The sequence below is a fragment of the Homo sapiens genome, chromosome 1 (genome assembly GCF_000001405.40).
Source record: "Homo sapiens chromosome 1, GRCh38.p14 Primary Assembly".
NCBI classification, from domain to species: domain Eukaryota; kingdom Metazoa; phylum Chordata; class Mammalia; order Primates; family Hominidae; genus Homo; species Homo sapiens.
The window spans coordinates 210,593,305-210,613,694 of record NC_000001.11 but is presented as its reverse complement, the minus strand read 5'-3'; the positions used below and the strand labels follow the sequence as shown (position 1 = coordinate 210,613,694).

The 20,390-nt window shown below is 39.5% G+C and overlaps 1 protein-coding gene across 18 annotated transcripts in view, besides 2 other annotated features; it reads right to left on the bottom strand.

Annotated features, from left to right (window-relative positions):
* Positions 1 to 20,390, bottom strand: part of HHAT (hedgehog acyltransferase) — a 348,963-nt gene that overhangs the window by 62,596 nt on the left and 265,977 nt on the right. The window lies entirely within an intron of this gene.
* Positions 14,793 to 15,653: an enhancer, noted in NCBI's record as "H3K27ac hESC enhancer chr1:210771386-210772246 (GRCh37/hg19 assembly coordinates)". NCBI's record gives its function as "activates a minimal SCP1, AML or CMV promoter by ChIP-STARR-seq in naive H9 embryonic stem cells {active_cell/tissue: H9 hESC(naive)}" and the evidence as "EXISTENCE:reporter gene assay evidence [ECO:0000049][PMID:30033119]".
* Positions 15,654 to 16,515: an enhancer, noted in NCBI's record as "H3K27ac hESC enhancer chr1:210770524-210771385 (GRCh37/hg19 assembly coordinates)". NCBI's record gives its function as "activates a minimal SCP1, AML or CMV promoter by ChIP-STARR-seq in naive H9 embryonic stem cells {active_cell/tissue: H9 hESC(naive)}" and the evidence as "EXISTENCE:reporter gene assay evidence [ECO:0000049][PMID:30033119]".

Here is a 20,390-nt window from a genome sequence, read left to right as displayed (position 1 = left end):
CCACAGATCCAGTATAATCCCTATCAAAATCCCAATGACATTCTTTGGAAAAATAGAAAACCCCACCCTAAAATTCACCTGAGATCTCAAATGGCCCCAACTGGCCAAAACAACCTTGAAAAAGCAGAACAAAGTTGCAGGACACAAACTTCCTGATTTTAACACTTAAAGCTACAATAATCAAAACTGTGTGGTACTGACATAAAGATAAACATATAGACCAATGGAATAGAATAGAGAGACCAGAAATAAACCCTTATATACGGTTAAATAGTTTTCAACAAGGCCAAATGATCCTCAACAAGGGCAGAAAGAGCATTTAATGAGGAAAGAACAGTCTTTCCAACAAATGGTTCTGGAAAACCTGGATATACACATGCAAAAGAACGAAACTGGACCCTTATACCATACACAAAAATTAACTCAAAAGGGTTCAAGTATCTAAAAAGATGAACTAAAACTATAAAACTCTTAAAAGAAAACAGGGGGAGACCTTCATGACATTGGATTTAGCAATGATTTCTTGGCTATGACACAAAAAGCACCATCAACAAAAGTAAAAAGAGATAAACTTGACCTTACCAAATTAACTTTTATTCATCAAATGATACTATTAACAGAGTAAAAAGACAACCCAGGAATGGGAGAAAAGATCTGCAATCACATATTGATAAGAGCTTAATATCCAGAATATATCAAGAACTCCTATAACACAACAACCAAAAAAATCCAACTTTAAAAATGGACAAAGAATTTGAATAGACATTTATCCAAAGAAGATATACAAATGGCCAGTAAGCACAAAAAAGTCATAAAGGAAATGCAAATCAAAACCATGAGATATCACTTCACACCTTCTAAGGTGGCTATATCAAAAACAAAATAACACGTGTTGATGAGGACATGAAGAAATCTTAAGCCCTACGTATTGCTGGTGAGAATGTAAAATGGTAGAGCCACTGTGGAAAACGGTATATAGGTTTCTCAAAAAATTAAACACAAAATTGCCATATGATCCAGCAATTTCATTTCTAGGTATATACAAAAAAGAACTGAAAGGGACTCAGACATATATTTGTACACCAGTGTACACAGCAGTATTATTCACAATAGGCAAAAGGTGGAAGCAACCCAAATGTCTATCAATGGATGAGTGAGTAAACAGAGTAATATATACATAAAATGGCATTTTAGCCTTAAAAAGGCAAGAAGTTTTGATGTATGCCACAACATGAATGAACTCTGAAGACATTATGCTAAGTGAAATAAGCCAGACACAAAGGGACAAACATTGTATGGTTGCATTTATATAAGATACCTAAAACAGTCAAATATATAGAGACAGAAAGTAGAATAGTGGCTACTAGGGACTGAGAGAGGAGAGGATGAGAGGTTTCAGATTAGGATGATGAAAAAGTTCTGGAGATTGAGGGTGGTGATGGTTGTAAAACAATACGAATGTTTTTAATACCCCTTAATTGTATACCCAAATGTGGTTAAAATGGCAAATTATATGTTAAGTATACTTTATCACAATGAAAACATTAACAGGCCTTTACCAATAGATACATGGAAGAGTGAATACATGCAGTTTTCAAACGCAGGTGGGCCATAATCAAACTCAACATGTATTAAACCAGGAAAGGAGCCTAAATACATTCTAAGAAGCTATCATGAAGGCCAGCGTCATCCTGATGTCAAAACATGGCAGAGATACAACAAAAAAAGAACACTTCAGGTCAATATCCTTGATGAACATTGATGTAAAAATCCTCAATAAAATACCAGCAAACCAAATCCAGCAGCACGTCAAAAAGCTTATGCACCACAATCAAGTTGGCTTCATCCCTGGGATGCAAAGTTGGTTCCACATACGCAAATCAATAAAGGTGATTCATCACATAAACAGAACTAAAGACAAAAAACCACATGATTATCACAATAGATGCAGAAAAGGCCTTCGAGAAAATTCAACATCCCTCCTTGTTAAAAACTCTCAATAAACTAGGTATTGAAGAAACATACCTCAAAATATAAGAGTGATATATGACAAACCCATAGCCAACATCATACTAAATGGGCAAAAGCAGAAACTGTTCCTCTTGAAAACCAGCACTAGACAAGGATGCTCTCTCTCACCATTCCTATTCAACATAGTATTGGTAGCTCTGGCCAGGGCAATCAGGCAAGAGAAATAAATAAAGCGCATTCAAATAGGAAGAGAGGAAGTCAAATTATCTTTGGAGATGACATGATCCTATCTTTAGAAAACCCCATCATCTCAGCCCAAAAGCTACTTAAGCTGATAAGCAACTTCAGCAAAGTCTCAGCATATAAAAATCATGTGCAAAAATCCCTAGCATTCCTATACACCAACAACAGGCAAGCAGAGGGCTAAATCATGAATTAACTCCCACTAACGATTGCTACAAAAAGAAAAAAATACCTAGGAATACAGCTAACAAGGGAAGTGAAGGACCTCTTCAAGGAGAACTACAAACTACTGCTCAAATAAATCAGTGAGGACACAAGTGGAAGAACGTTCCATGCTCATGGATAGGAATAATCAATATCGTGAAAATGGCCATACTGCCCAAAGTAATTCATAGATTCAGTGTTATTCCCATTAAACTATCATTGACATCATTCACAGAATTAGAAAAAACTATTTTAAAATTCATATGGAACCAAAAAAGAGCCCAAATAGCCAAGGCAAGTCCTAAGCAAAAAGAACAAGTCTGGAGGCATCAGGCTACCTGACTTCAAACTATAGTACAAGGCTACAATAACCAAAACTATGTGTCTGGTACAAGAACAGACACATAGACTGATAGAACAGAATAGAGAACCCAGAAATGAGACCGCATACCTATAATCGTCTGATCTCCAACAAACCTGACAAAAACAAGCAATGGGGAAACAATTCCCTATTTAAAAAATGGTGCTGGGAGAACTGGCTAGCCATATGCAGAAAATTGAAACTGGACCTCTTCCTTATACCATATAAAAAATTAATTCAAGATGGATTAAAGACTTAAATATAAAATCCAAAATATAAAAACCCTAGAAGAAAATCTAGGCAATACTATTCAGGACATAGGCACAGGCAAAGATTTCATGACAAAATCCCCAAAAGCAATTGCAACGAAAGCAAAAATTGACAAATGGCATCTAATTAAACTAAAGAGCTTCTGCATAGCAAAATAAACTATCAGAGTGAACAGACAACTTACAGAATGTGAGTAAATATTTGCAATCTATCCATATGACAAAGGTCTACTATCCAGCATCTATAAGGAACTTAAATAAATCTACAAGAGAAAAACAAGCAACCCCATTAAAAAGTAGGGAAAGGACATGAAAGACACTTCTCAAAAGAAGACACACATGTGGCCAACATATTTTTAAAAAGCTCAACATCACTGATCATTAGAGAAATGCAAATCAAAACCACAATGAGATAGCATCTCATGCCAGTCAGAATGGCAATTATAAAAAAGTCAAAAGAACAGATGCTGGCAAGGTGGCAGAGAAAACAAAACAAAACAAAACACTTTTACACTGTTGGTGGGAGTGTAAGTTAACTCAACCATTGTGGAAGACACTGTGGCAATTCCTCAAAGACCTAGAAGCAGAAATACCATTTGGCCCAGGAATCCCATTACTGGGTATATACCCAAGGGAATATAAATCATTCTATTATAAAGATACTTGCACACGTATGTTCATTGCAGCACTATTCACAATAGCAAAGACATGGAGTCAATCTAAACGCCCATCAATGATAGATTGGACAAAGAAAAATGTGGTATATATACACCATGAAATACTATGTAGCCCAAAAAAGAAATAAGATCACATCCTTTGAAGGGACATGGATGGAGTTGAAAGCCATTATCCTCAGCAAACTAATGCAGGAACAGAAAACCAAGCACCGCATGTTCTCACTTATAAGTGGGAGCTGAATGATGAGAACACATGGACCCATGGTGGGGAACAACACACATTGGGGCCTGTTGAGGGGCTAGGGAGAGGGAAAGCATCAGGAAGAACAGCTAATGGATGCTGGGCTTAATACCTAGGAGACGAGATGATCTGTGCAGCATACCACCATGGCACACATCTACCTATATAATAAATCTGCACATCCTGCACATGTACCCCTAAACTTAAAAGTTGAAAAAATAAAGAAAAAAAGTTACCATAAAAACTATGCTCACTGATAACACTGCAATAAAATAATGAATATCAACAATTTGCAAGAATTAACACACCATTACATTTTTTAAAATTTCACTCATTCAAACCAAAAGTTTTTATTTAAGGAAAAATAAAATGAGTAAACTTTAGCAATTTTTATCAATTAAGACAATTAGGCAAAATAAATAAGAAGATATATAGAAAATTTTTAAATCTTTGGAGATTATATAACAATATATTTGCAGACATAGCTTAAAAATGTAAATTATCTAGAAAATATAAATTACCTAAATTTTGAACAAAAGGAGCAGAAAGTTTGAAAAAGCACAACCATAGTGATATTGTTAGGCTTTGTGTCCCCACACAAATCTCATCTTGAATTGTAATCCCCATAATCACCACGTGTCAAAGAAGAGACCAGGTGGAGGTCATTGAGTCATGGGGCTAGTTTCCCCCATGCTGCTCACATGATAGTGGATTTTCATGAGCTCTGACGGTTTTATAAGGGGCTCTTCCCCCTTCGCTTGGCACTTCCTCTTTTAGCCTTGTGAAGAAGGTGCCTTGCATCCCCTTCGCCTTCCGCCATGATTGTAAGTTTCCTGAGGCCTCCCCAGCCATGTTGAACTGTGAGTCAATTCAGTTTTGTCCCCTCTGGAGGATGCAGCAACAAGATGCCATCTTGGAGGGAGAGACTGGGCCCTCACCAGACACTTAAATGGCCAGTGTCTTGATCTTTGACTCCCAGCCTCCAGGACTCTAGGAAATAAATTTCTGTTCTTCATAAATTACCCTGTCTCAGGTATTTCATTACAGCAGCACAAATGGACTAAGACAATGTTAACTCTACTCAAATCATACTACAATTAAATGCACATCTAAAAAATTCCAATAATAATACCAAACAGAGTTTTGGGGAACTTCACCAGTTCTAAGATTCAGACAGAAGAGTCAACAGGCAAAACTAGCCAATGCAATTCTGAAAAAATGCCAGAAAAGGTAGGGGCTTTCCCTAGCAGAAATCAGGACACAATTTAAAACTCTAGTATTTAAAACTGGAATAATCAACTAGATCAACGCAACAGAATAGATAGCCAAAAAATGAATCCAAGTCTATTTTGATACTTACTATATATTAAAGGTGATCTTTTAAATAACTGAGGAAAGCACAGAGTATTCAATAATACAATTTTAAAATGTAAAAATGATTCATAACTGCAGGCCATACAAAAACAATCAGTTGACCAAATCTGGCTCATGGACCTTAGTTTGCCAACTCCTCTATCCTATTTTGTTCTTGGTAACTGCCCTAAAGAACCACGTACACACATGTACGAGGAATCTCGAAATGGAGTCTTCACTGCAGATGCATTATTTGCAAGAGAAAAAAATAGAAGCAACCTGAATTTTCAACAGGAGAATGGCTAAATTATATATCCATACCATCCATATCATTCCTGATTACACAGATCTGCATATACTATCATAGGATCATCTTCACAACATATCAGTGAGGGTGAAAAGAAGTGCAAATTTTAGAATATTTCTTAAACCACACAAACACAAAGCAGCAAAGGTATGGGAGACTACATTCGAACTGATAATAATGGTTACCTCTTGGGGAGGAAAATGAGCAGGGTGTGGTTGTTAGGGGGTGGGTATCCCAGAGGACTTTCAGCCTCATCTCTCTCTCTCTATTTTTTTTAAGGCATATGGTCGTGAATGACTTCATTAAGTTAAAAAGAAGTAACGGGGAAAAAAAAAAAGAAAAGAAAACCTAGGAATCTTTCCACTAAATGACCCTAGACCCTGGCCATCTCCCTTGAGCATAAAGAGTCAAGGCACATGGGTGGGAAGATGAAAGTCTGTCGACCATCACACCCAAGTGATAGCTGCTCATGGTACTGGGGGCCTCCCTCTCCAGGCTACACTTAGATCCCTTGGGACTACTGAATAAGCCTAGGATGTGACAGCTGTGGCCTCAGCTATATTCTGTTCAACCACAAAAACAACAGCTTAAAGCAAGGCCTCCTTTTTAAGTAACCTTAATATTTTAAAATCTAAGAATGATTCACCAAGTGATAGGAAACAAAACTCCTCTAGCGATATCCAATTAAACAACATAAACATCTCTGATGCCTTCACAAGACTCATTAAAATGCAAGTAAACATTTGAAAAGGATACACATTCACAGATAAAAAATGAAGAGCAGGGTGAGCAAAGTCAACCCATTTTAATAAGATAGAGCAGATTAAAGAATTAGCAGATTTGAGATACCCAAATACTAGATGCTAAAGAGATGAAAGCCATTTATACACCAAATAACCATAAGGCCCAGGCATAGAGGCACCAGGTAGCACAGATAGCAAGAGTAACCCATGAAGAAGAAAAAAACAGGAAGATTAGTTAAAAATCTGGGTAATAAACATATAGAGCACGAGGTTTCCCTCTTCCTTCTTCACCCCCAGGATAAAAGTTCTTTCACAGATAAATTGCATCAAAGAGAATTTAAAGGCAGGGACAATGGGCACAGTAAAATTTTAGATATATACCGAAGATGTTCGCAGTAATGCTTCCAGAGCAAAAAACAGAATGCATACAATAATGAAAATGGCATTTCTCAACAGAAAAGCTAAAAGCTAAAAGACAGATAATATCTTCAAAATTCTTAGGACAAATTACTTTTCAACCTGAGATCCAGTGCCTAATCAATCAAGTGTGAGAGTAAAAATAAGACATTTTTGAAAATACAAGATCTCAAAAAACTATCTCCTATGGCCTTTTTCTTAAAAAGCTACTAAAGGATGTCCTCCACCAAATCAAGGGAGAAAAAGAAAAAACAAGACCCAGCACAAAGAAACAGGGATTTGTTAAAGGAGAGAGGAGAAGGGAAGCATCAGTGCAACAGCTAAACAGAGCATCTAAAGAGCAGTGAGTCAGGTAGGAAAAGAGGATGGAAGGGCTTCAAGAGAGATTCTCCAGGAAAGGAAGAGAATAGACAGATGAGCAGATACCTCTGACCATGTGGAAAATTCTATCTGAGAGATTTTCTAGTTCTATTGGAGAATCTGGGAAGAAGGAGGGACAGTAAACTAATGAAAGAAAAAAATGGCAAGGCAATTCTTCACTTAAGTGGAGGAAACAGTTGTGTAAGAAAGGAAATGTACTTATATTAAACAGTTTGGCAGTGAGCCACACTTACCATGGTGTGCTGAGTGCTGAATTAACAAAAAAAAATGAAGTTATTATATTAGGAGGAAAAATAGGGAGTAGGTCTAAGATGCTAACATTTCATAAAGAAAGCAGTTAATAGTTACAATTCATAAATGAAGAAATAGGCTGGGTGTGGTGGCTCATGCCTGTAATACCAGCACTTTGGGAGGCCAAGGCAGATGGACCTGACCTGAGGTCAGGAGTTCGAGACCAGCCTGGCCAACATAGTGAAATTCCATCTCTACTAAAAATAAAAAAAAATTAGCCAGGTGTGGTGGCACATACCTGTAGTCCCGCTACTCAGGAGGCTGAGGCAGGAGAATCGCTTGAACCTGGGAGGTGGAGGTTGCAGTGAGCCAAGATCAAGCCACTGCACTCCAGCCTGGGCAACAAGAGCAAAACTCTGCCTCAAAAGAGGAAAAAAAAAAACATAAATGAAGAAATTAATAAAATTAGTGTACACTTTGGAAAGAAGTAAAAATCACAAACAACTAAGAGAACTGAACATTACTGTTGCTGGGGAAAGGGACCCAAGAATGGGATGAATGGAGGCTGCTTGTTTGCTTATTTATTTACTTATTGCATTCATACTTGATGTGTGAGCCATGGACGTATCTTACTTAAACTTTCAGGTTTCAGTTTTTCTCCTGGTAAAATGGGAATAATGATAATACACGCCTATAAGGCTACTGTTAACATCACATGAGATAATGTGGTAAAATTCCTTCTGTGAACATTCCCTTTTTAGTCGGACCAATTTTTCAGAGTAGTTATTTAATAAACAGGTTGAGAGGAGACACAATCGAAACCCATGTTGTCCAAGTACTGAGGGCTGGAATATTAATCAATCCAATGCCCAGTATGCATAAGCAGCAAAGAGACATGAAGTGAATGGGGTGATCTAAGTAGGAGGGGTTTATCAAAAAGAAGATTCTTCTAGTCTGAAATCCAGGAAGCTTAGATCATGTATAACTGGGTTTGACTCCCTCCCTCATTTAACTAACTGTGTTCTGAGATAAATTATTTACCTTCCCCAGTCTCCCGTTTCCCTATCTGTAACATCTGTAACACTGGAGGTAGTAACACCTACCCTGGAGGTTTGCTACAGTGGTTACATCAAATAACAAATGTGAAAGATTCTTGTACAGTATCTGGTACCATTTCCTCTTTGGCAAAGGGTGGCAACTACAACAGCCCTAGTTTGTTCTGGAGAATGACACCTCTATCTTTCAATTTCTTTGTTGTTGTTGTTGTTGTTGTTGTTGTTGTTGAGTCTTGCCCAGGCTGGAGCACAATAGCTATTTGCCAAGTACAATCACAGCGTGCTATAGCACAGAACTCCTGGCCTCAAGCGATCTTCTGCCTCAGTCTCCTGAGTAGCTGGGACTACAGGCACATGCTATCACAACAGGCTGATTTTTATTTGTTTTTGTAGCAAGGAGGTCTCACTGTGTTTCCCAGGCTGGTGTCGAACTCCTGGCCTCAAAGGATTCTCCCACCTTGGCCCCTCAAAGTGTTGGGATTATAGGTATGAGCCACTACATCCAACTTTCAATTTTTAACATAAATCAAGCATCCAGGATCAGCTAATCAAAACCTCCCTAGGGTGAATCCGTCCTGCTCACCTCTCTCTCAATAATTTTTAGTTAGACAACAGTATACATTTACTGTAGCAAAAGTTGAAAATATAAATAAGCAAAAATAAGAGACTATGTATCACAAATAATACCACCAGTAAGAGTTAACCACCACAATTATTTTAGTATATAACCTTTCACATACTTTTCTGTGTATGTGTATTTTTAAATAAAATAAGGTTTTATTAAATCTATCATTCTTTGGTGATCATTTAAAACTAATATGTCAAGAACATATTCCCTCTCAATAAAACTATTTTAGGCTGGGCGCAGTGACTCAGGCCTGTAATCCCAGCACTTTGGGAGGCCGAAGTGGGCAGGTCATGAGGTCAGGAGATCGAGACCATCCTGGCTAACATGGTGAAACCCTGTCTCTACTAAAAATACAAAAAAAAAAAAAATAGCTGGGCTTGGTGGCATGCACCTGTAGTCCCAACTACTCGAGAGGCTGAAGCAGAAGCTTCACTTGAACCTGGGAGGTGGAGGTTGCAGTGAGCCTAGATTGCACCACTGCACTCCAGGCTAGTGAGACTCTGTCTCAAAACAAAACAAAACAAAACAAAAAAACTATCTTAACATCACTGTTAATAGCTGCAGTCAGTTTGATGGATGAACTTCACCTTTTATATTATACCCTTGCTTCCCACCCTTCCGCAGACAGTCAGTGTCTGTTCCAGCAATTACTCCAGCCTATTAGGTAAACTACAAGTTTGACACCAGAAGAAAAAGCAAGATCCAACTTAAATTGTGTTTCAATACATGTCAGTAATCACAAGTATATTGATACCAACCCAGCTTATCTCTAACAAGGCCAGCAGCTGCTCGAAAGGCTTTTTAAAGCAGAGTTTATTTCTAGGTCTTGGAAGGAATGTGAGATACTTTAGAAGAATTTTATTTTGGAAGTCCTGCACATCTCTGCCTTAGATCTTTAAAAATCAGTACATAGGCATGCACACACACACGTTGCACACATATAGTCACAGCATATGTACATATATAAATACACATTGTAAAAATATATTGCAGTGAGTATGTGCATATTATTTTAGGAAGAAACAAGGGGGCTATTTTTCTTTCCATCAGTAACAGGAACACTGGAAATTCAAGCTTTGTCACCTCCAGTGGGTAATTTGGATTTAGGGGAGAAAAAGATACCCAGAATTGGAAAGACACAGCCAAATCTTCAACATATACATACTAAGATTATTTATTTTTCCCAAGTTCATCTATGGAAAGCTGCTAGGCACTAGACTGAGATTAGAGCAACCACCATTCATCTGTGCTGCAGAAACAGAGACCAGAGACTCACAGATAAAGAATCAAACTCCACAAACCACCGAGAAAAGCCAGTTTCAACCATTTACATTCACACTATGGATCTCATCTTTGGCTCAGTACTCGTTCCTGAGATTATGGTTTCTCAGGTGAGAGTTTGCATTAAGCAGGGAGAAGGTATAAGAATGCCATGATAGCAGCCGATGATTGGAGCAGGACACCCGTCTTACTCCAGAAGAAACTGAGCAGCCGAGCAAAGGCAGCAGAAGGCCAAGCACTGGCCAGTCCTGGCGCTCATCAGTCCAGGAATAACTGAAAATGGGTTCTATTTCAAAGCCTTCTATCTGTCAGATAGCCGACTCAGTCATGGAAAGTTAAAAAGAACCCTTGAAAATGCTTTCGCCATACTAAACATATTTGAACTAACATGGAATTATTTTCAGAATTCTACCTCTTAGACCAGAGAGGTTAAGATTCAGGCTTCCAATTCCCACAGAGAAGAAAATGTGTAACCAGCGAATTGCATAGTGTGTTTCCTGCATTGCTAATGATCCTTAGGAGTGGGAGACAATGCTGTGGGGGTGCCAATGGGTCGTAATCCACCAAGGAACACACCGTTCATAACAACACGCATTGCTTTTTTCCAGACCCAGAGGCCCGGGTGAGCACTAATAAGCTGGCACAACAGGCTAATTTGATGTGTGGGATTAATATGTTAATTTAACGCTCTCCTGTTTGGTTAAGTGGTTTCTGTTCCTAAATTTCTAAGCATGGCATTCAAATCCCTTTCTATGGGAACCATGTGGCCTCTCTAACCGCCCTTCTTCCATTTGTCTTGGCAGCCTCGTGACCTGGATACAGAATGCCCATGCCTGACTTCAGGTAGCGCACGCACTGTTCTCCCAGCCTGCAATGCTAGTCTTCTTCTCCCTCCTGACCCTAGCCAAATCCTACTGTTGATTCTCCAGTGTGCTATTCAAGCCTTGGCTCTTTAATGAACCTTTCCCAAAAGCTTAGCTCACACTGACCACCATGAACATCAGGGGCCTCTGTGCCTCATTCTGGCCACTCGCACGTAATGCTTTACAGTGGTCCTCAACTGGTCTGTGCACATCTCACCTCTCCATCTGGATCATAAGCCCCTAGTGGGCAGGGATGAACTCTCACAGCTTTCTTTTCTCACTGCCAGCACTCTCATTTTACTCGACCCCTGAGTAGCATCACCACCGTGGACCACTTCCTCTCCATGAAATCTCCCCTCTTCTTGGTTTCTGTGAAATCACCCTCTAGATTTTCCTCCTCCTCAGCTCCCCCTCGATCCAACTTCTCAATATTGGTGTTCCTTGGCTGCCTTTTCTTCTCTTTGCATGCGTGTGTGCACACATACACACACACACACACTCTCACACACATACTCTCTCTCTCTCTCTCTCTGAGTCTCAAATATTCTCATGGCTCCAAAATATCATCTATATGGTCCCAAATTTCTATCTCTAGCCTGGGCCTTTCTTCTAAGCAATGCCTGGGAAGACTAGGTCAATCAGTATTTTATTATGTTTATAAAGGCAAGTTCATTTGTCTTATAGATCTCTTAGCTCTTCATAGAGAGAAGCTCCCATTTCATGGTTTTATTATGTCTTTAATCCAAAGCAGTCATCATAATATGAGTACTCTGATAGGAGGCCAGGCAAGACACCTTCATTCATGGCAGGGATCATGTCTTATTCAGTTTAGAGTCCTTCAGTAATGTGCAAAGTGTCTTCTACATAAGGTGCTGAGAATTTTTTTCCTAAATGAGTAAGTTAAGAAATGAATAGCCACGTTGACTATGCCTAAGTGGGCTCTGTCGAGAAAGGGTACCATTTTCTGGAGAAAATGGCTTATGTCCAGTAAGTGCTTGATTTCAATTTGTTGAAAGAAATCCAAATGGAGGAGGAATAGAAGGCCATGAGCCATTACCAAATGCCACAGCTCTTCTCAAATTTGCTTTATACTCCCTCAGAGGCTTAGTTGGGGCTTGGACTACTGACCCCTAACGAAAAGGTTTTCTAATCAGGCCAACTAGATATGTATGTCTTGCCAAGCGGTGAGTTAGGATTCCATAGAATCAAATAACCATAGTTTGGATCACGTTGATCAATTTACAATCAACAATACTTTTAAATTGGTTGATTTCTTAAACCCAATTTGGAATTCTCTATCTTCAAAATCAAACTAATCAACATGGCCAATACATTGAATTACCACCACCACAGAGTCTTTGGGTTCTCTCTGATGCCCCAGAACATCAAATCCCTGCCATGACCATCAGACTGATTCTCGGTGGTTTTCACTGGAGGCATGTTTCCTCAATTAAGTGTATAAATAGAAATTTTACTGCTTCAGAAAGGATATAAATCAGCTCAGCAGGACACTCTTGGGGCAAAGAGGCGGAGGCCAGGCTGGGAGAGGAGAACGTATTTAAATTATTCAATGAAATGGAAATCAGGGGTGGGAGTAGGTGAACTATTTGAGATATAGACTCTTCTTTGGGTAGGAATAATCGACAAGCAGCCTGAAGGAGCCTTCCTTCAAAGGAGAGATCAAACTGAGAATTGGCATGAAGTGGTGTCACTTCAAAATGTTTCCTCTGATTAAAATATTTCAATGCTAAACAGAAATCCTCACTCCCTGGAGAGTACTTGTACAGAGAAAAAGCACAGTGCTCCAGCAGTAACTCCTCTACGTCCACCCAGCTTGGGTGCTTTGTGAAAATGCCTTTTGTTAGCTTCCTACAGCTCTGTGCCTCAGTGAGTCACAACCAACAATCCCTCCTCTCATAAAGCAGCAGGCTACCAGGAAGACTAATTCCTCCTTACCCCATTCTTTCCTGTATATGTATTTTGTGCACTGAGCATTATAACAGCATTTTGCCATCACTAGACCTATTTGTATCTATGCTGCTGCTTAGTAAGATAGTCCCCCAATACTCAATAACTCTCAGTTTTAGTTTTTTTCGGTATTCAATCTATATTCTTCATGTTGCTGCCTAAGTCTATTTCATCTTAAACTCCCTCAGTGAGTGAAGTCAGAAAATATCATTCATTCTTTCTTTTATTCAAAAAGGCACTGTGCCAGGAATTGGGATAAGGGTCAAGAATACAGTATTTCTGACCTTATGAGGCTTACAGTTCAGCGAGGGAATAAATTATGTCAAAAATTTCATTTCAACTGTGATAAATATAGCAGAAGAGAACATATACAAGGTACCCAAAATAAATTATCAAATGGGATCTAATTGAGTTAGGAGGGCCAGTGAAGGGTTTCCAAACTAGATATCATTTGAGCTGAAATCTGAAGGATGAATAGGGGTGGAGGGGAAGGAAAGAGAGCATCCTAGGAGATGGAAGTACCTGTGTTGGGGAGCTGAGGCTAGAGGGATCAGGTATGTAATGAACAGAAAGAAGAACAGAGAGGTGAGGGGGGAGGAGTGGGAAGAGGCAGTAAGTGAAAGATCAGATAGGGTGTCATAGGTCATCTTAAATGTTGTGGACCTGGTTCTAAGACAATGGGAGTCACTATAGGATTTAAAAGACAGCAACATGGTTAGGTTTTTATGGAGAAATATCACTCAGGACTATGAGGATAATAAATGGAAGGGGGAGGAAGTGGAAGCAAGGGATTACCTAGAAGCTATTTGGTAGACCAGGAAAGAAATGAGAGCAGCTTGGATTAGGATTTCAGTAGAAATAGAAACAAACAAAAAAATTCGAGATCTACTTAGGAGGTAGAATGTACAGTATATGCAGATCAATCTGAGGGGGAGAGAGGTACAAAGGATAACATAATGGCTTTAGCCTTGAGTAGCTAGATAGATGGTGGTGTCATTTGGGGAAAGAGAGTATGCTGGAATTACTGGGAGGCAGGGGGTCACGAGCTCCATATTACACGTGCAAAGTCTGAGAAACCTGGTAGATTTCCAAGTCAAGAGGTTCAGCAGCCAGTTGTATATATGAGGTGCCAAGGGCATTAATGAAGATCATTCCAAGTAACAGCAGGGTCAGACACACTATATGCCTTTAACCTTTAATGTTTTCTAGAAGTGGGGGTATGTTCTAGAGCTGCACTGTTTAAAATGTTAGCCATTAGCCATATGGGAGATACTGGGATCTAAATTAGTTAAAATTAAATATATTTAAAATCCAGAGTTTAAATAGGCACTAGCCACATTTCAAGTGCTCAGTGGGGCTAGTAGCTACTGTACTGGACAGTGCAATTAACATTTCTGTCACCATAGGAGTTCTATCAGACAACCCTGTTGTAGACGATCAGAGGGCTTCCTATTTACAGCACTCAGCTCTGACAAGTATTTGCGTGAATGTTCAGCTCTCAGTCTACCAACACCAAGAAATAGAATTCTTCTATATTTTGATCCCCAAATAAGGCCTTGGGGTTGAAGATGGAGATATGAAAGAAGTGGGAGGTGAAGCAATATGGCCAAATAGAAGCCTTCACCAATCATTCTCTCTGCAGGAACACCCAATTAAATAACTAGCTACACATAAAAACTCACCTTTATAAGAACCAAAAATTGGATGAGCATCACAGTACCTGGTTTTAACTTTGTATCACTGAAAGTGGCTCTGTAGAGGGTAGGAAAGACAGTCTTAAATTGCAATGCCACCTCTCCTCCATCCTCCAACAGCAGCCACGGGGAGTGACAACTTGTACACTTGGGGGAGAAAGATCACAGTGACTGTGGGACTTGGCACTGGAACTCAGGGCTGCCCTGTCACAGCAGAAAGATGGGCAGAACTCAGCCCAGTGCCTGTGGAGGGGACACTTAGAACAGCCCTAGTCAGAGGGGAAGCATCCATTCCAGTGGTCAGAACTTAGATTCCAGCAACACTTGTCCCCAAGGGCTAAGGGGCTCTAAGGTCATAAATAAACTTGAAAGGCAGTCCAGGCAACAAGGACTAATTCCTGAGCAAGTCCTCATACTTTGCTCAACTTCAAGCCAGTTGATTTTGGGGACACGTGACCTAGTGAGTCACCAGCCAGAGCATCCAAGGGAGTGCTTGCATCACCCGTCCCCCAACCCCAGGCAGCATAGCTCACAGCTCCAAGACAGATTCCTTCCAAACTTCTGCTTGAGAAGAGGAGACAGAAGAGTAAAGACAACTTTGTCTTGCAATTTGGATACGTGCTCAGCCACAGTAAGATAGGGGGCCAGGCAGAGTTTTGAGGCCCCCATCCCAACCCCTACCTCCCAGACATTTCTAGACACACCCTGGGCCAAAAGGGAACCCACTGCTTTGAAGGGAAGGATGCAGTCCTGACAAAATAAATCACCTGTTGACAAAAGAGCCCTTAGGCCCTGAATAATCAACAGTGGTAGCCAGGCAGTGCTTGCTGTGGGCTTTTGGTATGACTCAGAGACTTGCTGGCTTCAGGCATGACATAGCACATTCCCTGTTGTGGTAGCTATGGGGAACTCCTTCTGCTTGAAAAAAGAAGAGGGAAGAGGAAAGAGGACTTTGTTTTGCAGCCAAGGTATCAGCTCACCCACAGTGGAGTAGAGCACCGAGTAGGCTATTGGGGTCCCCAGTTCCAGGTTTTGGCTCAGACATTTCTGTACCTGTCTTGGACTAGAAGGGAGCCTACTGTCCTGAAAGGAAGGACCCAGGCTTGGCAGCATTCATCACAAGCTGAATGAAGAGCCCTTGGACCCTGAATGAACACTGGCAATAGCCAAGCAGTACTTGCCACAAGCCTGGGGTGGTGGTAGCCAAGGGAGAAGACTCCTCTGCTTGTGGAAAGGAGAAGGAAGAGTGGCAGGGACTTTGTATTGCAGCCTGGGTGCCAGCTCAGCTGTAGTAGAATAATGTACCAAGTAGATTCCTAAGGTTTCTGACTCCAGGACCTGGCTCCTGGATGGCATCTTAGGACCCACCCAGGACCAGGAGGAACCCATAACCCTGAAGGGAAGGATACAAGTCTGGCTGCCTTTGCCACCTGCTGATTATAGAACGCTAGGGCCTTGAGCAAACATAGGTGGTAGCCAGGCAGTAGTTATTGTAGGTCATGGGCAAGACCCAGTACTGTGCTAGCTTCAGGTCTGACCCAGTGCAGTCCCAGTAGTGGTGGCCCACAGGAGTTTTTGTGTCACTCCACCTCCAGCTCTAGGCAGTTTAGCACACAGACTCCATTTGTCTGGGAGAAAGTAAGGGAAGAGAACAAGAGTCTTTACCTGACAATCCAGATAATTCTTCTGGATCTTCTCTAAGATAACCAAGATAGTACTTCTATGAGTCTGCAAGACCCACAGTATTACTGGACATGGGGTGCCCCGTAATGCAAATACAGTTAGAGCAACCGAAAACTTAGATCACAATGCCCAAGTCCCTTCAAATACCTGGAAAGCCTTCCCAAGAAGGATAGGCACAAAGAAGCCCAAACTGTGAAGACTACAATAAATACCTAACTCTTCAATGGCCAAATACCAATGCACCATCCACAAGCATGACAACCATCCATGAAAATATGACCTCAGTGAACGAACTAAAGAAGGCACCAGGAGTAAATCACTGAGACACAAAGATATGTGACCTTTCAGGCAGAGAATTCAAAATAGCTACTTTGAGGAAACTAAATGAAGTTCAAGACAAAACAGAGAAGGAATTCAAACTACTATCAGATAAATTTAACAGACACTGAAATAATTAAAAAGAATCAAGCAGGAATTCTGAAGATGAAAAATGCAACTGACATACTGAAGAATGCCTCAGAGTCTCTTAGCAGAACTGATCAAGCAGAAGAAAGAATTAGCACACTTGAAGATGAGCTATATGAAAATACAGTCAGAAGAGACAGAATATAAGAGAATGAAGCATGCCTATAAGATCTAGAAAACAGCCTCGAAAAGGCAAATCTAAGAGTTACTGGCCTTAAAAGGGAGGTAAAGAAAGGAAAAGACAGGGGTAGAACATTTTTCCAAAGAGATAATATCAGAGAACTTCCCCAAACTAGAGAACGATATCAGTATTCAAGTACAGGAAGGTTACTGAACATCAAATAGATTTAACCCACATAAGACTACCTCAAGATAACCAAACTCCCAAAGTCAAGTATTAATTAAGAATCTGAACAAGAAATGGGGAAACGATTCCCTATTTAACAAATGGTGCTGGGAAAACTGGCTAGCCATATGTAGAAAGCTGAAACTGGATCCCTTCCTTACACCTTATAGAAACATTAATTCAAGATGGATTAAAGACTTAAATGTTAGATCTAAAACCATAAAAACCCTAGAAGAAAAACCTAGGCAATACCATTCAGGACATAGGCATGGGCAAGGACTTCATGTCTAAAACACCAAAAGCAATGGCAACAAAAGCCAAAATTGACAAATGGGATCTAATTAAACTCAAGAGCTTCTGCACAGCAAAAGAAACTACCATCAGAGTGATCAGGCAACCTACAGAATGGGAGAAAATTTTTGCAATCTACTCATCTGACAAAGGGCTAGTATCCAGAATCTACAAAGAACTCAAACAAATTTACAAGAAAAAAAAACAAACAACCCCATCAAAAAGTGGGCGAAGGATATGAATAGACACTTCTCAAAAGAAGACATTTATGCAGCCAAAAGACACATGAAAAAATGCTCATCATCACTGGCCATCAGAGAAACGCAAATCAAAACCACAATGAGATACCATCTCACACCAGTTAGAATGGCAATCATTAAAAAGCCAGGAAACAACAGGTGGTGGAGAGGATGTGGAGAAATAGGAACACTTTTACACTGATGGTGGGACTGTAAACTAGTTCAACCATTGTGGAAGTCAGTGTGGCGACTCCTCAGGGATCCAGAACTAGAAATACCATTTGACCCAGCCATCCCATTACTGGGTATATACCCAAAGGATTATAAGTCATGCTGCTATAAAGACAGATGCACATGTATGTTTATTGCGGCACTATTCACAATAGCAAAGACTTGGAACCAACCCAAATGTCCAACAATGATAGACTGGATTAGGAAAATGTGGCACATATACACCATGGAATACTATGCAGCCATAAAAAATGATGAGTTCATGTCCTTTGTAGGGACATGGATGAAGCTGGAAACCATCATTCTCAGCAAACCATCACAAGGACAAAAAACCACACACCGCTTGTTCTCACTCATAGGTGGGAATTGAACAATGAGAACACTTGGACACAGGAAGGGGAACATCACACACTGGGGCCTGTTGTGGGGTGGGGGGAGTGGGGAGGAATAGCATTAGGAGATATACCTAATGCTAAATGATGAGTTAATGCATGCAGCACACCAACATGGCACATGTATACATATGTAAAAAACCTGCACGTTGTGCACATGTAACCTAAAACTTAAATAAATTAATTTAAAAAAAAGAATCTGAAAAGCAACGAGAGCAAAGAAACAAATAACATACATTGCAGCTCCAACACATCTGGCAGAAGATTTTTCAATGGAAACCTTACAGTTCAGGGGAGGGTAGCAAGACATAAAGTGCTGAAGGAAAAAAACTTTTATCCTAAAATAGTATATTCAGCAAAAATATCCTTCAAACACGAAGGAGAAATAAAGACTTGCCCAGACAAACAAGCTGAGGAATTTCATCAACACCAGAACAAGAAATGCCAACGGCAGTTCTTCAATCTGAAAGAAAAGGATGTTAATAAGGAGTAAGAAATCATCTGAAGGTGCAGAACTCATTGGCAATATCAAGTACACAGGAAAACACAGAATACTATAACAATGTAATTGTGGCCTACAAACTACTCATATATTGAGTAGAAAGACTAAAACACAAACAAATAACAACAACAACTTTTAAAGACATAGATAGTACAATGAGACATAAACAAAAACAACAAAAAGTTAAAAGCAGTGCAAACAAAGTTAAAGTGTAGAGTTTTTATTCGTTTTCTCTTTGCTTATTAATTTGTTTATGCAATTAGTGTTAAGATGTCAGTTTAAAATAATGGGTGATAAGATTATTTGCAAGCCTCGTGGTAATTTCAAATCAAAAAACACACTGCAGATACACAAAAAGCAACAAATTAAAACACACCACCAGAGAAAATCACTTTCACTAAAAGACAGAAAGGAGGGAAAGAAGGAGAAGACCATAAAACAGAAAACAAATAGTAAAATGGCAAGAGGAAGTCCTTATGTATAAATAATAACATTGAATGTAAATAGACTAAACTGTCCAATCAAAAGACAGAGCGGCTGAATAGATTAAAAAACAGGACCCCATAATCTGTGGGCTACAAGAAACACACTTAACCTATAAAGACACATAGACTGAAAGTAAAGAAATGGAAAAAGATATTCCATGCCAATGGAAACCAAAAAAGAACATCAGCAGCTATACTTAAATCAGACAAAATAGATTTCAAGATAAAAACTATAAAAAGAGACAAAGCTACATATCATCATTATATAATGATAAAGGGATCAATTCAGCAAGAAGATATAACAGTTGTAAATAACATATGCAACCAATATTGGAGCACCCACATGTATAAAGCAAATATTATTAGAGCTAAAGAGAGATACCCCAATAACAGCTGAAGAAATTACACACCCTACTTTCAGAATTAGATCATCCAAACAGAAAATCAACAAAGAAACATCAGCTTTAACCAGCAGCACAGGTCAAATGGACCTAATCGACATTTACAGAACATTTCTGTACCAATGGCTGCAGAATACACATTCTTCTCCTCCACGTATGGATCTTTATCAAGGATAGACCATATGTTAGGCCACAAAATAAGTCTTAAAACATTTTTAAAAATGAAATGATATCCACTATCTTCTCTGAACAATGGAATAAAAGCAGAAATCAATAACAAGAGGAATTTTGGAAACTATACGAACACAGGGAAATTAACCAATATGCTCCTGAATGACAGAGGGTCAATGAAGAACTTAAGAAATTGAAAAACTCCTTGAAACAAATGATAATGGATACACAACATGCCAAAACTGATGGGATATAGCAAAAGAAGTACTAAGAGGAAAGTTATAGCTATAGGCACCT